The 22,644-nt window shown below is 37.1% G+C and overlaps 1 protein-coding gene across 14 annotated transcripts in view; it reads left to right on the forward strand.

Annotated features, from left to right (window-relative positions):
* The window catches only part of CTNNA2 (catenin alpha 2), a 1,463,404-nt gene extending 1,447,239 nt beyond the window's left edge, over positions 1–16,165 (forward strand). For 13 of the 14 annotated variants that reach the window (NM_001399737.1, XM_024452714.2, XM_011532556.3 and 10 more), the window contains one exon: positions 14,970–16,165. In NM_001399737.1, coding sequence (NP_001386666.1) covers positions 14,970–15,257 — 288 coding nt within the window. In that variant the 3' untranslated portion in view covers positions 15,258–16,165. Of the gene's footprint in view, positions 1–34; positions 163–14,969 lie in introns of those variants that run through there. The other variant, XM_047443447.1, reaches the window with a different exon arrangement.
* Positions 16,166–22,644: the final 6,479 nt, after the last annotated feature.

Here is a 22,644-nt window from a genome sequence, read left to right on the forward strand (position 1 = left end):
TTCTTTTAGAAGTACTTTTCTCTTGTTTTGCTAGGGCTTATCATGCCCTCATGCTATGCTGGTCATCTGTTGGAATACCCTCTCCTGTGGAGCCAAGACCCTGGGACTGAGGCACCGAGGAGTTCTAATAAATTAAAATGAAGATCCCAAAAGAACTTCCCAAAGGTACCCAGAGGTGATGTAATAATCTTTTATAGTCACAGACTTCTCTAAAATTTAACAAGTATTTTATTTTCTCACTTGGACCTCAGAATAACTCACAAAAGTATATTGTTATTAACCCCCTTTTACAGTTGAAAAAATAAATAGAAACTCAAAGAGATTACAGAGTGTCCAAACTTTCACAGCCAGTAAGTGGGACAGCCAAGACTTAGAGCCAGTTTCTCTAATGTATTATCTTGTGCTTTGTGCAGTGTAAGGATGGTGCTGGTATCTCTGTGCTCTGTAGACTAGTGGTTGAACAAGAAATACAGGGAATAGCATGTTTCAGATGGTATAGATGATAACAGGTAATATGTATTAGGTTCTTATAAATTATATTATCAGCCTCACATCATTTCGTGGTGTGTGCTGCATGACACATTAAAAGATTATGTTTTAAAAGTTTTTAAATTTTTTGATAAATAAGTGGTATATAACGTTTAGGGATAAGGAGAATTAGAAGTTGTATTTAATTGTATTTAATCAAGTTTTCTGTGAACATGTAGACAGCTTTTTTGGCTGCTGGCAAGAAAATGAAAAAGTGGAAGATGATGTTCCCTGCAATTTGACTAATTCATATCTCAGGTGAATCCTGATGGCAAGATTGGGAGTTTGTACAACTTTTCTCCCCTTATGGCTTAAGGAAGTTCACCTCATGACTGCTTCGTCACATGACTCACGCTTGTGAACAGTTAAAACACATCATAAGGCATGTTTCCCTCCACATAAATGGCATCAATAGCCAGGAATAAAGACTTAGGGCAGGAAAAGCCTATGGTAGATCTGCCTGGTCAAAGAAGACTGCATGTTCTACCCAGAAATGAATTTTATGAGCCTTCAAGTAGACCAAAAAAAGTTAACTTTTCTCTATTTCGGTTTTCTCATATATAAAGCAGCAATGATGGTATTCAACTTGTACATGTTATGAAGATTAATTTATTAAGGCACCAGCACTATACCTAGCAAACATAATTCTGTGCCTCTTAGATGCTGGTGCTATTAATGGAGGAGATGGTTTTTAAATTGTGGCTGTCTTTTGAGCAAAGACTGATCTTGAAATGCTTACATGCAAGGTACAGTAAGAGGAAGAAGACATAGATACGTATTGCAATTTGGCTGAAGTTTACTTTCTCTTTTATTTCTCCAAATTTTACTCTCCTGACAATCTCATGTATTTGCAAGAATGAATAGGTAGTAAGAATGGATACTGAACTAGGCATTGTGCCCTAGCTTTGTGTCTTTGGACAAGCCTTTCACGTCCTATTTCCCCACCCATAAAATTACAATGCTTCAACATCTCGGCAAATATTTATGGAGGACTCATATGCTAGGCACTGTTTTAGATGTTTGGGATATAATGGGAGGTGGTGAACAAGAAACATAAAAATATGAGTATATAAGAATATTAAAATAGAGAAAGAATGGCAAATTAAGGCATGAGGATGGAAATGGAGCTGCAATTTGAAAAGTATGGCTTGGGTAGTTTTCACCAAGATGCTGATATTTGGATAAAGTTCAGATGGATGTGAGGGAGCAAGCCTTACAGGTATCTCAGGTGGGGAAGAGTTTTCTAGGCAGAAGAAATAGTAAGCGCTAAGGCCTTACATTGCAAACATGACTGGTCTTTCTGAGCAGTAAACAAGAAACCAGTATTTAGGAATTGAGTTAATGAGAGCAAAATCAGAAGTATTGGGCCCCATGTGAAGACCATTTTGATAGATTTGGATTTAACTCAGTCTGTGATTGGGAAGCCACTCAAGGTTGTTGATAAGATAAGTGATATTGAGTTCATGTAACAGGATCGTTCTCGCTTCCATTTGAGAATAAACGGGGTAAAGGGTGGGAAGCAAGGAAACTAGTTAGGGGAAGCTTTTGTAACAAGCCAGTAAGAGGTTCTGAGAAGTTGGCCAAGTGGATAAGAGTGAAGAAGATGAAAAGAGATCAAGTAATAGATATGTTTTGAAAATATTGCTGACAGGACATGATGGCAGATTAGATGTTGAGTTGGAGAAAACAGGTATAGCATAAGATTCTGGGTGTTTAACCAAAGCATTGGGAAGAACTGTGTTGCCAATAACTGAGATGAAGAGGCATGCACGAGGGTCAGGTTAGGGGCAAGGGTGGAGTTAATCATAGAGCTCTCACTGTCTCTGGAAGGTTGGGAACAGTCTACAAGAAAAGGCTTACGGATGCTTAGATCATTCTCTTCATGTCAAGAGGTGGTCTTTGTGAAGATAACTCTTGCAAGAACCTGAAGTATAATTTAGATGGAAGATAGATAATAGAATGGTTACAACTCATTGTTAAAAGTAATAGGAAACCCCTACCTGCATCTGTGATCGTGTACACAGTAATCATTTGAAAATTATTTGAATGTGTGTTAATGTTAGTGGTGGATTTACAGCTCACAATGGAAAAAGCAGTGACCAGGAAAAAAGAAAATGATTTGGAGGGCATTATTCTGTGTCAACTCAAAAAATATTTTAAAGAAGACAGAAAAAGTTCAATTATTAAAAACCCATGGATCGACTGCTCAAATTTAAAACTAATTTAGTTAAAATTACTGATTTTTAAACTATTATACTAAAGACCTCTTATGAGCCCTTAAATGATGATAGCATTTCCTCTTAATTCTAATTTCTGTAATGAAAAAAGAGTTGAAATTTTAGGTTAATGTAGTGAATTATTTTATATAGCTACATATGTGTCTAACATTTTACTTCAATTTTCTGTGCTATAGTTAAGAGCTCATTCGTTATGAATTATGTGAGGAGAAATTATATTAGAGGTAGAAGTGATATTAATATACTCTTAATTGGAGCAATGATTGCACAGGTGACATGAGTCAAATCATAGCCCTCTCCTGTGCAGTTCTGTTAGTTAGAAGGCCCACACTGGATATGGTAAATGGTTTTATGATGATTGCTAACTCTCATCAATTGCTAGTGTTTGACTGAGCTATGTGTTGAGAAGAATGCTGAGACCATGGCTAGGATCAGTAGGAAAAAAGGACCTGATTGATTGGGCATATCTGTTAAGGATACCAATGAAGAAATGGCAGTAAATGTGTCACACACTAATCATCCTTGTTTTATTGGTTCTAGAAAGGGCTTAGAGTATTGACAAGTATGGGTTGTCTTAAGGATGCCCATTGCTTTTTTTTTTTTTTTTTTTGATATATATCTTCTTGCCTTTTCCTGGCTTTTACACCCATTAGCCCAGGCACTGTCCTTTTCAATAACCTTGGATTTGTTCTTTGGAAGGTCTTTTCATATAACCTGCCATTTGCTACTTTATTTGGTTAGTAAATGTGTGCAGAGCAGGACCAAAGGCAGCAAGATTGTTGTACTTATGTTCTGGAAAGCTAGTTGGATGAGATTTTCAAGTAATCCTAAAGAATATGTAGATTCGAAACTGGGAATTTATTGGTAGACTTAGATGCTGAGATAAGGTCAGTCTTAGTTAGAGATGGCAGGTGCTGGCTTCAGTGGTTTAAGACCGAATAAAAGATTAAAAATTATGCATTTATAACCCACTTTGTAGCAAAATACAGTTAAAGATTTAGGAAACAGTGCTAGGGAACCCAAGTGTTTGTGTTTTGAAGGAGATAAACACAGAGCTTTGGGAGATTTGGCCTTCAGTGTTTGGTAGGCACTTCCAAACAAGAAGGGGGCTCCCTTTTAGGGGTAGTGAGGGATCTCAGCTGGGGTCTAACAGTGTATACCTGAGAATCGAATGAGGTAAGGTGGTGTCATCCTTTACCAGGTAACACCATTTGGTTTTTAATATGAGATATTTATAAATGATATTCTTAACCAAAATGAATAGCTGGAATTTGGGGAATTTAAGGTCCTTGAAGTGGTCGTATAAAATATTTTATATAGACTATTTATTTTGATGCTTCCCAAATTACATGTTTAAACATCAGCTTCCCAGGCTAGATTGCCTTTCCTACACCTTCTAGTAGAGCCACCTTGACTCTCTATTATCAATATTCCTTACCAAGTCCTAAATGTTCTTAGATATTTTAGGTGTCACATTTTTACATAAAATTCCTATGTTTTCTTGCACTCAGTCTTGACTACCCCTTTATTCCATCTAAAGGATTCAGTAGTGCTAGAAAAGATACATAAGTGTTGGTATTTTCCTATTCCCCTCATGAACTTCTCCATTCCTTATCCCTAAAACTGTAATATTCAGGCACTGAGACCAAGCCAAGATGGTGGTAGCTTCAGTAAGAAGAGAGTTTAAAAAAATCTAAAATGCTGAATGGGGGAAACTTTGAAAGGAAAAGAAGGATGAAGATGTAGGAAAAGAGAAACATAAATTTTTTAAGACCATGTTTGGACTCACCTGGTGATTTAAGGAAAGATGGGTCATAATAATAATAAAAGCTGAGATGTATTAAGGGCTTACCATGTGCCAGGCACTCAACTTCAGTGGCATTATCTCATTTAATGCTTTATAATACTAGAAAGTGCTATTTTCATTTTTAATTTTAAAGAACTTTTATGAGGTAGAGGTAAGTTTAGTGGTTGTTCAAGATCGTGTAGTTAGTGATCCATCCAGTCAAGGTTTGAACTCAGGCTTTAAGTCTAGAGTCCAGGTTTCCCTCAGTAGGAGAGATGAAAACATGCATGTAAGAATGAATTACCAGTGACAGAGAGTGCACAGGAGAGGAAGAAAGAGGTGGGGAAGAGGTGATCACAGGAACAAAAGGGGCTGGGGTCCCAAGGAGAGGCAGCAAACATTCACTGGGAACGGAATCTCTCTGCTCTCTCCTCATCCTGGACCTCGGTAGCAACAGAGCCTTTGACTAGTTATTTCCATACACCTGATGAGGAGAGGATCACAGGCTGCATGGGTGTTTACTTCCCCCAACATATGAATAATGCCACATTAGAACATAGCTCCTAGGGCTTAGATGAGAAGAGAAGTGAAAGAATGAGGAAGGATCGTTCCAGATCTTCAGATTTTGCTAATTTTCCAGGCATAGTACTCCACCAACCTGCACCCAAACCGCAGCCTTTGACTCTTCTAGTCTACTTTTCTCTCAGTGATTATGCATTGCATGCTGGAGGGTAGGAGCCATTTTGCAAGTTATTAAATGGCCTTCAGTACTTAGCAGCAGATACCATGTTCATACAAGGTTAGGCAGTTCAGAAAGGGTGGGGTCATTTAGTGACTTTGATCCATTTTATGAAAACATATTTCTCATGGGTTCCTAGATAATTGTTCCTCTTACATTTGTCTTCTGGTCATGATGATATCACCTAGGGAGGGAGAAGGGTAGAAATAGAGGGATCAAAGGTAGTGATGCTCTGCTAGCTGGCTCTCCTATCGGTAAGGCAAAAAGGAGGCTTAGCTCCTTGCATAATTATTTATGAGACATAAACCTTGGGTGGTCAAGACATGCTGATGCACAGAATCAGAGACAAGATCAACAGTTAATGCCTTATGTATTCATGTGACATAAGGACTGTCTGCCCAAGAATATTTCCCAATTATGGGGGGGGTGCCTGAAAGCCCATTGGCTCTTCTCTTTGTTGCATAATTCCTCATGATTTTTTTGTTACATGGAAACCAATAACTTAGAGGAGGTCTCTGGCAGGAGATCCTGAAGGGTTGGGATAAGCGAGGGTGCTGAAAGGAAGGCAAGGAAAGAGTAAGTATAGGAAAAGAAGGTGGGGACTACCTGGATAAACAGGTGGCCCTGTTCCGAACTTTCCAAGGGCCAACCTGTCAGTACTCCCACTTATCTTTGAGATTTCCATGTTAGAAAGAATGCCTTGTTTCGGGTTGAGCAAAAACTGTTTCACCTTTATTGGTGAGAAAAAAAATGGCTCTAAGCCATATTTAGGAAATTTGTTGACTATAATTAAGATTTCATGGGCGTCCCCAAGGTTTACTTACCCATAATTGAAAAAATGCAAATGAAGACAGTTAATCAGTGGACTGGCCGACTATGAAGCACTACTACCTATGTAAATGAATTAAAAATGAAGACACAAAATATGTCCAGTTGAGAAAGTTACCAAAGAGCCAAGTGGTAAATTCCTCAGCAAGGCTGTGGAGAATTTTTTCTTAGCCTGACAGCCTGCAGTGCCTTCCTGCCAAGGTCTTTGCCAATTTAATCTTGAGCCATTCCATACAGATTTCCTCACAACTGGCCTTCAGCACTGGCTGGTTCTCTGGCATTACTTAAGGAAGCCCTGAAGAAAAGATAACAGACCTCTTGTCCTCTTTTCTGTGTAATTGATCCACTACTTAGAGCTGTAAAATATTTGCTTTACAAGATCCTGTTATCAAATGGAATTTGAAACTCTTTAGGAGTTATCGCACAGAATTTCACTTATCAGGGATCAGTATGTGTTGTAATATTAACTCTTTTAATGTGGTTTTGTTTGTTTTGAGACACAGTCTGTTTCTGTCACCCAGGGTGGAGTGCAGTGGCTCCATCTCAGCTCACTACAACCTCCGCCTCCTGGGTTCAAGTGATTCTCCTGCCTCAGCCTCCCCAGTAGTTGGGATTACAGGCACCTGCCACCACGCCAGGCTAATTTTTGTATTTTTGGTAGAGATGGGGTTTCACCATGTTGGCCAGACTGGTCTCGATCTCCTGACCTCAAGTGATCCGCCCACCTCGGCCTCCTAAAATGCTGGGATTATAGGCATGAACCACCATGCCCAGCCTTGATGTGTGTGTGTGTGTGTGTGTGTGTGTCTGTGTTTTTAACAATAAATACAACATATCTGTGATGGTCACTTTTACCTCTAACACCATCCTTCCTTGTTAAAATATGCAACCAATTTTTATCACCTGATTTAAAATCATCCCCAAAATGTTTTGCATTTCTGTTAATACTTAAATCTTCTCCTTAATGATTTCATTAATTAGCAACTCATAATATGGTATTAGTACAAAAAAGTGCACAATATGTCTGTAAAATCAGCTGTGGAAATAAAAGCATAAATGCAACATCCTTTAGATAAAAATATTTGTCGGCCGGGCGCGGTGGCTCACGCCTGTAATTCCAGCACTTTGGGAGGTCGAGGTGGGCAGATCATGAGGTCAGGAGTTCAAGACCAGCCTGACCAACATGGTGAAACCCCCATCTCTACTAAAAATACACAAATTAGCCAGGCGTGGTGGCACACATCTGTAATCCCAGCTACTCAGGAGGCTGAGGTAGGAGAATCGCTTGAACCCGGTAGGCGGAGGTTGCAGTGAGCCGAGATTGTGCCACTGCACTCCAGCCTGGGTGACAGCGAGATAACATCTCAAAAAAAAACAAAAAAACAAAAAAGTCAGTATCAGACAATATTTGATAGCTAACAAACAATAGAAATCAAACAATTCAAATACAGAAGTCGTGATACAATGGATGATATATCTGTGCCATAAACAGAATCAAGTTTTTTTGGACAACCCTGTTAAAATGTCTGCTCTTGGGAGGTAAATAAGTTTCCTTTCCCACACTACTTAGCAGATTCTGAAGGAGCAAGGTGCCTGAGTGATTAATAATGCCTGCCATGGACACTATGGATGAGAATTTGTTTGATGAGAAAGAGTGAGTAGACTCCAACACAGAAATGAGAGCTTGCTATCAAGGAAATGTCTTTCTGTGAACATATAAACATTCTGAGATAACTTAAGTGGGAAAAGATGTGATTAGGCTGAACCTTTTCACCATGTCTTTGTTTGCTTGAGTTATTTATTACCCTGGACTTTCTAGAGGTTTTTAAAAAGTGTTATTGATATAGACTCTGGAAAATGTACGCAGGTATTTCAAGATATTTCAAACATGTCACAGTTTCTAAGGACATCAAATAGGTCTTCAAAGCCTCATGGATTTTTAAAACATGAAATGTTCTTCTTGGAGGATAATAGGCTCCAATGCTCTGGGTTTCTAACCTCTAATTCATTAACAGCAAAGCTGACTTGTAGCAAAATTTTTTTTTCCTTGCAAGCAATATGTGACTCCTTTGAGGGAGATAACAGTTTAAATATAAATAAATGACCAGCTCCAGTGGAAAGATTCCAGTTTCCTTGAGGTGTTTGCTTTCAATTTATTGCCAATTCTCCCATCAAAATTTCCTACCCTGAAAACCTACTCTAGGTCTGAACATGTTTAGAACAACCCCCTTAAAATCGTTCTTGTTCTTATATGTTAAAGCTATGCTATTCCCATTTTAAAATATTGCAAAAGGCTAAAGTGGACTTTACACATATTTAGGGAAATATTTTAGCATTATCAAACTCATTAGTGTTATTGGCTCTGACTTACAAAAATGAAAATAAAATAGCAAGGCCCAAATGGAACTGGTTCCTTCTTCCAGGCATTTCTAAGCCATTTGAAGTAATCAAAGTAAACACCTCAGTTCTTTTATTTCAAAATCACCTTCCAGATGGATTTGGCTTATTTTATTCTATTTAGCTTAGCCAGCGGTCCCATGACATTTGCATTATTTTTAATCCAATGACAGATTGCTTTGTGATTTGGATTTTCATGAACTGCCATTTATGTGTCATTAATTTTTGTTAGTAGATGATCAGCTTTTTTGAAAAAAGACATACAATGTGAAAATTGATCTCTCTCTCCATGCATATTGTAAATATATGAATTCAGAACACACAGTCAAATCCTAATTCTCTTCTTTAATCGTATGCCCGGCCTCCACAAGTTAACATTCTAAGACATTTACTATGTCATGTCATCTGCAATGTGTCCCCTACTTGTTTTATATTATTTTTCACTTTTGACAATACTATTATTTGTTTTTAAAGCAAGCTGTTACAAAATAGCATTTATTTTATTTCTATCTTACCTCAGGAAGTTCACCATTCTGAAGGGTAAAAGATTGCTAATTACTTAACTATTCCCTACTTAACCAAGGAAGGTTATTTTCTATTCAAGTAAAATACTTGTTGATGACGTTATATCTTAGATTATTAAAAATATCTTAGATTATTAAAAGGATATTAATATTGATTTTAAAGGTCTTATTCTGAGAAATTTTTTGGTAAATTTATTGAACTTTTGTGTATGGATTTAATCTTTGTAAAAACAGTAAGGAATATGAAAGGACAAAATCAAACATGTTATACACCTACAGTATGCAGAACATCACCCTACATGAAACAATTGGGAAGATCAATATAAGCAAAACATGATTTTTTTAATATTTACTCCCATAAATACAACTGGACCTCTGATAAATCACCTAGATGTAACATACACACCTCAAACTCGGTATGTCCAAAGTTATACTCAGCATTGTAGCACTTCAACATCCTTTATATTTCCGCAATCTAGGTTGAGAGCATTGATGTATACTAAGTTGGACTAGTTAGGTATTTGAGAATTGTCCTTCCTCGTCACTGTTAACCATTCAGTCACCAACAACCTCTTATTAAAGAGTGTTTAGATATCATGCCCACAATGAAGCTGTTTCCCTTCTCCTATCCCTACTTGACTCAAGGTAAATTGCTATTCCTTTTGTTCATTTAGCATCTCGCATCCTACTAAAACACTGTCATACAGTGTTAAAACCTTTAGTTTGTGTCTATTTTTCTCATTGTATTGTGAGCTCTTGTGTTTCAGTGCTTATGTCTATTTGTGTTTCTATACCCAACACTTAAGCACAGTAGTTGGCAGAAAGTATTCAGTAGGTGTCTGAAGAAATACTTGGATGATGTGTAGATGGAAAAATGTAGGGATAGACTGGAGGATAAAAAGTCAGTGATAATTCAACATTTCAAGAGGTGTAGTTGCACTTTCCTTTGAAAGAATGTGGTTGACTTCTGCAGTCGAATTCTGTTTCTGTTGAAACTGAACACCTGTTGCAGCATAAGTCCTGTTTGAATGAAGTAGCATGCAGCTAAGGACATAGGCTTTCAGAAATATTCAGTTGATAACATAAGCTGTAGCAAGAGTCATTTCAAATACTTATTACGATGTTCTTCAGCTTTGGTGATATAAGGAATTAGGCTGCACAAATATTGATAAATGGAAGAATCACAATTCAGATAAGTCTTTGCTCCAGTCTTTCTGCCCATTCAAAACACAAAATGAGGAGAGTATAGGGAACAGAAATCTTTTAGAAGTTGAGTGGTATTAAGAAGAGTAGGAATAGAGGCAGGGGAAAAAAAGACAATGTCCTATAGAAAGGCCTATAAAACAGCTCTCCTGCCCCTATTTGCTTTTCATGGACTGTAATAGCACAAGATGGGAGGAAACATCTGTTTTCTTTTAAACATAGTATTTTGATGTTTTAAGAGAATCATAATAATTAGCAGAAGTCTAATTTCCTGTGGTTAGGGACAGCAGATACCTATGGGATGGAATAGGGAGAATGAGTGTAGCAGATCTTGGTAGATTTTGAGGGCTGAGGATTCATCTGCTCTGGATGGCTCTGGGAAATAGCATGGAGGAATGGTAAGATCATGGGCTCAGTGGTTAGATGGCCTGGGTTTACATCTTGGCTTCACCACATGTTAGCAGTGTGATAATGGGCAAGCTATATGCTTCTAAGTCTCAATTGGTCAAGCCTTGTCTCAGGGCTGGTTGTGAGATAGAATGAAATAAACGAAACTCAGGGAACTAGTTCAGAAAACAGCACATGGTCTAATTTGTTAAATGTATGCCCTTGTTTTTAAACTAGCTGAAAATAAGCAGTTTCTCTTAGGTTAGATACAGGAACTTAATGGGATATCCTATAGGAATATAAAAGGCCCTTAACCAGGAAAAGATGGATATGTCTTTCTGCTGAAAAGGCCTGTCACTGTAATTCAGGTCAGCTTGAGGAAGGGCTGAGAGGTGGTTGATTTTTGAGGCCATTTTAAAACTAGCAAGACTGGACCAGGTAAAGGATTAGATGACTAATAAGAGTAGCTGAGCCCTGCCTAGTATAAATGTGCTTCAGAATAATGGAGCAAATCCAAGACAAATTAGCAGAGATCAGTTTCCAGTGTCTATTTATTTCCATAAGGGTGACTCAAGGCCAGGAAGAACAAGGAAGGGCTGAGCTCTGGGCAGCAACATACCTGAGGCCAGAGGCTATAGTCAGCAAGGATTTGGGCTATGAGGATGAGACTAAGAATCACAGATTGTGAGAGATGAAGCACTTATCAGACATAGCCATGATGTTAAAAGGATGTTGCCAGGTTTAGGGGACAGGCTTCCAGCCTGTTCATTAGTAGAAAAGAGTTCATTTTGGATAGGCAATAACTAAAAAACAAGACCTGAGAGATCAAGTGATGCTTCGGGGGAACATTGCTCCATGGTGGGGTTCAGATGAGTGGGCCTTGGAGAGAGATAGTAGTGGTCCTAATCCCTACTTTGCCAATGACTGCAGGGACAACAACTTACGTTACCTCCCTAAGCTTCAACTTCCTCACTTATTAAATGGGGAGTAATAATCATTCCTACTTCGAGAATTTTTGAAAATTAAATCACACAATTAAAAGGACTCAATGTCAGGCGTCTAGTAAGTGCTCACTGAATTTTGATTATTATGAAAACTTATACGTATTCACTTACCTATCTTGTTGAAAACGCCATCATTACAATAAGTCACAAAAGAGAATGCAACTATGTTAAATAAATGTTCCTAAACTTGGTATTTAAAAACTGTTGCCATGCAGCTTTATTCTAATATCTTTTCTTTAGGAAGTGAAGTTTTAGCCAACCTTGCCAATTGGAAAACAGAGTTTTGGCACCATCTTGGAAAGGCATAAAGAAACCCATTTTTAAATTGGAAAGAATTGTGATTGTGCTGATAATGATCTAAATCATGAAAGTGCATCTACAGAAAAGGGCAAAATGTAACCTTTGGAAATTCAACTTTTTTTAAAAGTCAAATTTTGTATTAACTTTAAATTGGGCTTATTGTTTGTGGAAATATTTGTTCCAGTTCAGTTGGCTGGATCTCTCACCTCCTCACTTTACCTTGCTGCAAATTCAAGATCTGCCTTAGCAGGTGGCTTGAATAAAATTCTTGGCTTTATATTTCAAAGCTATCTCACTCTCAAACAGTGTATTAGGTTTATTTACAGGATTCCTGCATCAGGTTTGAAAGGCAAAGGGGTTCTGAAGAAGAGACAGGCTCTCATATTTTTGCTGCAGAATTAAACACCATCTATTTGAAAATGGAATCTGTGGTAAAAATCTCCAAATTTACTTGTAATCCCTTCTCTTCAGATCAGCTCAATTCTCCCAAGACTCACTCTTTGGGGACCATTTAATAATACAAGAGCAATATCATCTTGTTCTATTTCTACTAATTCTGTTGCCCAAAGCAAATCAATGAAACGTCCCTGTCATATTTTACCCTTTATTTACTCATAGCATGCGATAGAATTAACTAATTTTATGAATTAACATTACTCATTTTTGAAACCTGACAGACTTACAGAGAACTGTGCATTGGCCAAAGGTGTTAGGTATTTAGCTTCTAAAGAAACTGTGACTTATCTGTTCCTGATTGTTCCCAACATTTTGCTGTCTCATCTCTGTCCTTCATTATTTACACTTCTACCTGGGGGTAAGATGGGAAAGACGAAAAAGTAAAATTCATGTGAGATAACTGGCTATGATATTACCAAACTTGTGTATGACGGAAGTCCTGAAATCACTGGATAAAGTAAACCATCAAGACAGTCTTTAGGTTTCATTAATCCAGTGGTTCTCAAACTTTGGCAAGTATCAGAACCTCCTGGATGGCTAGCTAGTTAAAACAAAGATTGCAAGGTTTTGATTCAGTAAGTTTTGGATTGGGCCTGATAAATGCGATTTCTAACAGATTCCCGGGTGATGCTGATGCTGTTGCACCTCAGGGACTAGGCTTTGAGAATCACCCCACTAATTCATGCTTGGCTTCTCTCCTGTTAACATGAATAACCTAGAGTTTGCTTTTCCTTAGCTATCTTTAGAAATTTGGGCTGTATAAACGAAAGAGTATGGGGTTCAGCAGTGATTTTGGTATACGTGCATTTTGTATGGCATAATAGAAGTGATCAAGTAAGTGGGTTACTCCATCCATTTGGTTGAGTTAATTCACAAAGCAATTATATAAAACATCTTCCATTGTTTTCCCCAATGGTCAGACTACAAGCTTTTCTGGTGATGGAAAAATTGAGCTCATTTGATTGACATTTTTAAAAACACAGCGCAACATTAATTTAGCTTAAATAAGGGATATGGAACAAAAAGCAGCCAAAGGAACAGTATCACAGTTGTGTTAGATACAACTTCTGATAACCTCAATACTGCGTGGGACATATTTTGTTAATAAGAAATGATACGAAGCTAAAGTGAATGCCAGTCACGTCAGATGGAAGAACCATAAGATCTACAGTCTCTCAGTTTAAACACTTTCTTAGTCACCTAGCCCCCAGAAGGCTTAATGCAGCTACAGTTCATGAAGTTCATGAATTACAGGCTACACAACAAATAATCTCTCCAACTAGGAACAGCATACTTAAGAACATCTTTGCTTCCTTCAGTTAACTGTAATTGATATATCTCATTAGTTGATGTTACAAGAAGTTTGATGAAAGATCAGACTATGCTCAAACATCCCTGAGGCTGGAATGATATTTGCAGTTCAGCTGTTAATTCTTTTCTTTCACTAGCTCACATGTAGACTCCTGGCTGATGGAGAGTCTAGGAAATGCATTTTTGAGCCTCACCAATCCTGAGCTCAGGATATAGAAATAGTGTATAGATAAATAGGTACTTCCATTGGTTGGGCTATAACATTGAGACATAACCCCAGCATCTGTGATGCAGGCAGTGAAGCAAGAAGGTTGAAGAAGATATTGAATGATCTAGTATACAGTACATACCACACTAACTACTTAAAGACAGAAAAAAGGTAACCCAAAATATTCCTGGCCTAAAAGTCTGGTGATGGGCCTCTAAACCTATTCTCAAGTTGTGACTTGTCTTGGCATTTTTAAAAGCCATCCTATCCAACAAGGTGACAGTACAGATGAGTAGTATCTTTAAAGACTAAAACCTGTGCTAGTTACTGGACCTCTGCATGTATCAGCTCTCTCATTCTAAAAGGGCATGACGATAATGCCTATATTATAGAGTTGTTAACAAGAGCTAAGTGGGAAAATACAAATTTCTCATAATAGTATTTGGCACATAGTAAATACTGAATATTTCATTAATGCATGTATGAGAAGGTCTCACTGAATGCTATGAGATCCTGACATAAGTATCAGTATTTATATAGGAGGTATACTGAGGACCTGTTAATAGTTAAATTGATACTCCAAGCTCAATTAACACCTCATAGAAGCAAGAACACCCATGGATTGTTCTTCTGCCTAAATGACTGTATCCTCACCAACCCTGAGCTCAAGATACAGAAATAGCCTATAGATAGATACTTCCATTTCTTGGGCCATAAAATTGAGAGGTAACCCCTTATAACTTTTTTTCTTTAGTGTCTGCCAAATGCTTGTCCAACATTTGAGTAAATGTCACCATTGCTAATTACCCTAATGTAATAATATGAGATGTTCTACTTTGGAAAACTTTTGTTACCTTGGAATTCCTACCTGCTAAGATGAGGGCTTTGCCATTAGCTGTATTGAGATTTTAAAAACCTTAACTTGTGATAATTTGCTCCTTTTCAGCAATACTATTTATTTGCACAAGGAAAACATTATTTTAACCGTGAAAGTACATCACCATTTTGTGAATTTGGGGCCTCCATTAACCCACATGTATCTCATTCTTTTCCTACTCTAGCTGGACAGTGCCACATCGCTTATCCAGGCAGCTAAAAACCTGATGAATGCTGTTGTCCTCACGGTGAAAGCATCCTATGTGGCCTCAACCAAATACCAGAAGGTCTATGGGACAGCAGCTGTCAACTCACCTGTTGTGTCTTGGAAGATGAAGGCTCCAGAGAAGAAGCCCCTTGTGAAGAGAGAAAAGCCTGAAGAATTCCAGACACGAGTTCGACGAGGTTCTCAGAAGAAACACATTTCGCCTGTACAGGCTTTAAGTGAATTCAAAGCAATGGATTCCTTCTAGGACGATAGGTTTTAACAAGAAAGCTTTTTCTTTCTTTTCTTTCTTTCTTTTTCTTTTTAATTCCATTTTTGTATGCATACCTGCCAGCTCGTATGCCTCTGGCATGGGGAAATTAAGGGAACAGTGTCTGTTTGCATGTAAGATGAGATGAGATCAATACTACTGATCCATCTGTAGCCTGGGAAGGAGACAGGACATTCCTGTACTAAGGTGGCACAGAGCTGTCCTTTGCAACATTCTCATAAAATTGGGCACAGAGTTCGCATTGGCGCAATATTTATGGGAGTGGGAGGGATGGGGAAAATAAACTTAACTCTACAAAAGCAAACTCTAATGCATGCAAGAATCATTAGGTTGGCAGGTATATGCATAAGTGAAAAATCTGGAAGTGTAATGGTAGAACATAAAACTTGTATTGCTTCTGTTTCAGTGCAAAAATGTACTAGCCAATACGCTTAAGTGTGTGGCCCATGAATTGAACAATTTAACCTTGAAGTCTATATCCGTGATATTATGTCGATTTTTAACTGAGGGGAAATTAACTAGTCCAGCCTAAAATGCTTCTTTTAATCTGCATTCTGTTTCCTCTTCTAGTTGTGCCATTACTAGTGATCATGTTTTTTTCCCCCCTTTAATGAAAACAATAAACATCTATTTGAGACAATTAAAATCCTTCTGGGGGCACTGGAAGCACAATACGGTGACCAATCTTGCTTTCATTTTTTTTTCTTTTTAATTTGAACCATGATTTTGCTAGAAATAGAAGGCCCAGTGGTGGAATATTAGAGGGAAGGAAACTGACAACGTGTGAAAGTTAGAGGCAAATACATAGGTGTAGCTTGGAGTGCTGGTATCTAATATACCATTGTATTCACTAACTAACTCAAAATAAACACATTTAATCTTGACATCTCAAGTATGTTTTCTTTTTTAATTTTTTAAGTATGTACTTAATAAAGATTAGAGCATCATCTTCCTGAAAATTCATTAAAAAAATGCATTATGTTTTGGTTTTTAGAGATTAGTAATAAAATTTTAGAGATTAGTAATAAAATAGATGATATCCAAATAATTGTCATTTTTAGAGTTCACATATTTATTTTGTGGTTTGTTTTTCCACTTGTTTTCATTCACTTTCATACTGCATTGAAAATGACAGTCTTTCTTTGTAATAGAAGAGCCAATTAATTTAAAAATATTTTACTCATTTTAGACTTTTTCCTTTTAAGTAAGTTGGAAAAACAGGACCTCTGTCCCATTATTAAAAAGTGGTGATAGTATTTCAACTATGAACTGAGAAATGGAGAAAAAGTCCCCAAATAGTCACCTGAATTCTCCAAACTCCTCTCATTGGAATGATTGCTACAAGTTATCACATTACCATGTCTCCAAAAGGCTTCTAGTAAATATGCATGTTTCTTTCTTAGCAAAGAAGTGATGATAACACAATGGGAGTTATGAACACCTAAGCTTATGTGCAAGATCCCAAAGGGAAGGAGCTATAAGGGAGTTGTGGAAGGAGAAAAAGCTTAATCTAAAATCTTATTTAGAAATGATTCTTCTCAAACCCCTGCTTACTACTACTGGAAAATAACACCACCAAGACTGAGAACATTTCAGTAGAGGAGACACCACGGAAGCCGTACACTGATTTTCAACACTAATCATTAGATCACAGATAACTAGCCTGCTTCATTAATTTGCATAAACATTCAGAGGGTGCCACTGACACACACTCACAGATATTTAAGGAAGGCCTTAACTGAGCCAGGTTCTAGGCTGAGCGCACCACTAGTTAAATGTATGGGTGACTTTTCTGTTAGCACATAACCATGACATAACAAGAAACCAGCATGCCATTTTTGCCCAATGACCTGAACAAAGAAAGACAGCTTGTTCTTGGCAGCATATTTTTGATCTAAGGAATCTGAGTTTCTCCCAAACAGCAATAAAAATACCCTTTTGAGAAGTTTTTCCTGACAAGAGCCACTCATTCTGTTTTTCTCCTCCCTAACAGATGCTTAGAGAAATGGAAAGATCTCTTTAGCCTCCCCTTCTTCACAGGATCTAGGGAAATAATAGAAATATTAAGGGGTTAAAGACAGGAAAGAAAAGTACATCAACCTAGTGATGATGATCCTATAGAAAGAAAGAGTCAACACAATGCCATTCAGAAGTCCCCAAGGAAATGTAATTAGCATAATTAACTTTCTGGATTCATACATTATTATTTATTGGGTCAAATATTTTGCAGACCAGCCAAGAAGCTTTTGAATTTTAAAAGTTTCTTGGCAAATCCTGAAAAATTGCCAGTAGGTATCAGAGGAATATATAGAGAATGCCCTTGACTTTGACCTATAAAACATTAAATGTTTCAATGCACGCTTATGAACAGTGTTTATGTGTGTGTGTGTGTTGATTTCAGTGCTTACTGAGTAAGCATCATCACTATCCTTTCCATCATTGCTTTTGTGATCAAGGAAAACAGTAACTATTCAGAAAGATAAATATAGACACTTAGTTGAAACCATTAAAGCAATAAAGAAGTTGGTAAATTTCTTGTCCTCAAGAAAAATACAGTCTAATTGAGAACATATTACATAGACAAAAAAAATGTGCCAAGAAATCGTACTCAAAAGTACCAAATGAATATGGTAGAGAAATTACTGTGTGGTGCTAGTGAAGTCAAACCCATTGAAGACTAAAGTAGCTGGGTAAGAATAATGCAAGAAGCAGGACTTGGAAATGAGAAAATAAATACATTCTGAATGAATGAAAATTATAAATCAGCAAATTTGGCAAGAGGGGTGATGGTTGGACATTCAAGGAAGAACAGCTTACTTTAAATATGTGAAGACAAGTGTAGTCAGAGGGAACACAGGATTTATCAAGGGGATTAAGGGGTATAAATGTGGAGATGAGATGTAGTTTGAAACTAAACTATGGAGGTCATAAAGGAGGGTGACCATTACCCAATAGGAAAGGTGGAGTTTTTAAGTGGGATGATGACACTGAAATTAATGATGTGTGGGGAGATGAGAGCTGAAAGGGGCTGAGAGTTAGAAGAGGCATATATGATAGAAACGTCAGAATGACTTCCAGTGACTTCTTGAATAACTATATATGGGGAAAGAATTATTACAGTATATGCTTTCTTCAAGGAGATTAAAGAATAGAAAATAGGAATAATTAAAAAGTGATATTTTAAGATGAGCTGGAAGGGTATATTTGAGGAACATAGAATCCTAAGCAAATACTTGTGGGTATTTTCTAAAGAAGCATTTTTGGCTGCAGCAGGATGGATCCTCCTGATGGGAGGAAACTAAATAAATCTGTCTCCTATGCCCGCTATTCTAAGATGGATGTTTTGGAAGCCAAAACTGTTATATTCTTCTAAGGACACAAAGTATCCAGGAAATCATAAGAGATCTACAGAAGATTTATAGTTTTTTTTCCATTAAGTATTGAAAACCATGAAGTCAACTTGATTCTTAGAAGTCAACCCTGTAAGCAATTGGTTATGATTTGGGCTCATGGGGAAATAGACTATACAAATGCCATCATGATGGTCATCAATTTTGGGGCATTAGTTATGTATAGGACACCTTTTATTCACTCGAGGCATAAAGATCTATAAAATAAGGTGTATAGCAGAATACCTAAGCTAAATAAGCATACCAAAATATTGTCATTCAAATTGATAAATTATAACTCCTAAATGTGCTGGTCATAGGTCATAAGTGATTTGACTTTTATTGCTGTGTCATCACACATTAATCCAATTAAAAAGGCCAGTGCTTACTCTTGAAGATTGTGGCATCATTTAGAGGTAATGAGAGGGAAAAAAAATTATAGAAAAATGTCAGTAAAAATATACTAGAGTAGTGGAGTAATATCAGAAAGATGGTGGACTAGGAAGCTCCAGGTCCTTGTTCCTTCATGGAAACACAAAGTAAACAACATATTAACCACAATAGCTTTATGGAAACTTTAGAAACAGTTAAGGATTTGCAGCAACCAAGATAATGTCCATCAAGAGAAAGCCACACTCAACATGGTAGGAAATTTGGGGTCATTTCTGCTCACTTGTGCCCCCACCCCTCCCTGGCATGTTCAGGAGGGAAGCCACTCAATTCCTCGTGTTATAGAAGAGACCAGGTTCTTGTCACACGACCAGGAAAATTTAGGCACATGGACACATTGTAGGGTGAGTAGGGCAGAGTGCACTGGGTGAAAAAAAAGGCAAGAGCAACTCAGCAAAGCCAGAGAGAGTCCTGCTAGCAGGTTTCCTGCCTCACTGATTGAATCCCAGGTCACATAGTAACAGGCAAGGCCACGCTCCTCCCCCATGCAAAGGGCACGAATTCCGAGGCTCCACCCCATCCTCCCAGTGTGCAGGTGGGCATTATTCAGAAAGAATTAGTTGAGAAAGTGTGGGTGTCATCCACAACCAGCAGTCCAGTGTTTTCAGCTTTCAGGCTGTTTTAGGCTTGAAATCAGGGTTTCTCCAGGGACCCTTGGCTGTCTCCTGTCTCTATCATGAGTTCCTCCTTTACAATGGAAGAAAAAGAGTAGAACTTCTCCCTTGTTTTGTGGCTTCCTAGAGGAATAGTTTCTTTCTCCCCTAACTCAGAGAGTAATTGGGAATGATGATATAGTTTGAAAATCAGGTTTCAGGCCACTGAAAGCCGCAATAGGCACAACAACACATTAAAGCTTTGGGGAATTCAAGACCTATGGGGTCCTGGAGGCAACAGAGTAGAGGCCGAGGAATACAATAGAAGACTTAAGGTCCTGAAAAGAATCAGAAGTAAGGCTCTTAAGGAAAATAGGATATATAAAAGCAGCTGTGTATACCGGGACTTGGGAGAAGGAAGAAGAACACACAGAGGCTCAGTAAATACATATGTTTAGAAATGACCTGAAAAGGCATAAGATTTCACACCATGCTGATGAGTGAATGTCTTCCCTTGGATGAGCCAATCCACAAAATTGGCATAGGTAGCTGTTTTTTCAAATGTTCAAGTATATGTGTCTACAAGAGACTCACTTTGGATTTAAGAACTGCATTAGATTGAAAGTGAAATAATAAGAAAGATATTCCATAAAAATAGTAACCGAAAGGGAACAGAGGTGGCTATATGAATATCTGACAAAATGGACTTTAAGTCAAAACTGTTACAAAAGATAAATAAGGGCTCTATATAATAAAAGTGTCCCTGCACCAAGAAAATGTCATCATAATAAGAACAAGTGCACTTGTTCTCACTCACATGCAAAAGCTAAAAGAGATGACCTCATAGAAGTTGAGAGTAGAATAGTGGTTACTAGAGGCTAGTAACGGTAGGTAGGAAAGAAGGAGAATAAGGAAGGATTGGTTAAAGGATACAAAATTACAGCTAGATAGAAGAAATAAGTTCTAGTGTTTTACAGCACTGTAGAGTGACTATGGTCAATAATAATTTATTATATATTTTCAAAGTTTGAAGAATCTCTTCAACTTATATATTGTGTTCCCAACACAAATATAAGTGTTTGAAATGATGGATATGCTGATTACCTTGATTTGATCACTATGCATTGTATGTATCAAAAGTCATTATGCACCTAATATGTACACTATGTATCAACTTATAAAAAATATATGCATCAAGCACCAGAGCACTTAAATATATGAAGTAAACACTGACCCAATTAAAGGAAGAAATAGATAATTCTAGAATAATAGTATAAGACTTCAATACTACACCTTCAAGAATAGACAGAACAACCAGACTGAAGAGTAATAAGGAGTTAGAGGACTTGAACTACACTATAGACCAATTGGACCCAACAGACATATACAGAACAACCCACCAACAATAGCAGATCACATACTTTTCTCAAGTGCACATGGGTTGTTTTCCAAGTTAGACCATATATTAGGTCACAAAGTTAGTCTTAATAAACTTTTAAATGTTAAAATTATACAAATTATATTTTTCAATCATAATGGATTGAAACTAGAAATCAAAAGCAAATGGAACACAGGAAAATCCACAAATTCCACATGGAAGTTAAGCAACACACTCTTAAACAGTGGGTCAAGGAAAAAAATTTTCAAAAAATTAGAAAAATCTTAAGGCAATAAAAGCAAAATATACCAAAACTTATGGGATAAAGTGAAAACAGTGCTAAAAGGGAAAATTATAGCCACAGGTGCTTACATTAAAAAGGAAGAAAGTCTCAAAAATCTGAATTTCTATCTCAAAGAGGCAGAAAACAATTAAAAACTAAACCCAAAGCTAGCAGAAGGAAAATGTAAAGGTTAATTTTATGTGTTAACTTTAATGGGCTAAAGGATGTCCAGATAGCTGGTAAAATATTATTTCTTCCAATGTCTATGAGAGTGTGTCCAGATGAGATTAGCATTTGAATTGATAGACTAAATAAAAAAGATTGTCCTCACCAAATTTGGGGGACATCATGGAATCCATTGAGAGACCAAATGGAACACAAAGGCAGAAGAGCACATTCACCTTCTTTACTTGAGCTAAGTTATTTAATTTTTTCTTTATACATTTGTGCTCCTGGTTCTTTGGCCTTCAGACTCAGACTGGGATTTAAACCATTGACTCCCTTGTTCTCAAGCCATAACAAACTTGGGCTGGAACTATACAACTGGCTGTCCCGGGTCTCCAGCTTGCAGATGGCAGATCATGAGACTTATAGCTCATAATTTCTCATAATAAATGTTTTCTTTTGTTTTTTCTTCTTTCTTTCTTTTTCTTTCTTCCTTCCTTTCTTTCTTTCTTTCTGTCTTTCTTTCTTTCTTTCTTTCTCTCTCTCTTTCTCTTTGTCTCTCTTTTACTTTCTTTCTATTGGCTTTATTCTGTCTGGAGAACCCTGACTGATACAGAAAAAGAAAATAAAAATTAAGACAGAGATAAACAATTAAAGGTAATAGAAAAAACAATAAAGAAAAATCAACAAAATTCAAAGTTGGTTCTTAAAAAAAATCAACAAAATGTATAAATGTCTGGCAAGATTGACTAAGAAAAAAGGGAGATGACTCAAATCACTAAAATTATAAATGAAAGGAAATATTCCTATCAATTTTACAGAAGTAAAAAATCATAAATATGCTTTGAACAAATATATACCAATGAATTGGAAACCTAGATGAAATTGATAAATTCCAGAAACTCGTAAACTAACAACACTGAATATCGAAGAAATCTGAGCAGATTTTAAACTAGTAAGGAGATTGAATCAGTAATCAAAATCTCAACAACAGAAAAAGACTAAGTCCTAGAAGTCTTCATTAGTGAATTCTACAAATCATTTATTTAATAAAGACTTAACTTTAATATTCCTCAAACTCTTCCAAAAAGTTTAAAATTCCAAC

This window comes from Homo sapiens, chromosome 2 (genome assembly GCF_000001405.40).
Source record: "Homo sapiens chromosome 2, GRCh38.p14 Primary Assembly".
NCBI classification, from domain to species: domain Eukaryota; kingdom Metazoa; phylum Chordata; class Mammalia; order Primates; family Hominidae; genus Homo; species Homo sapiens.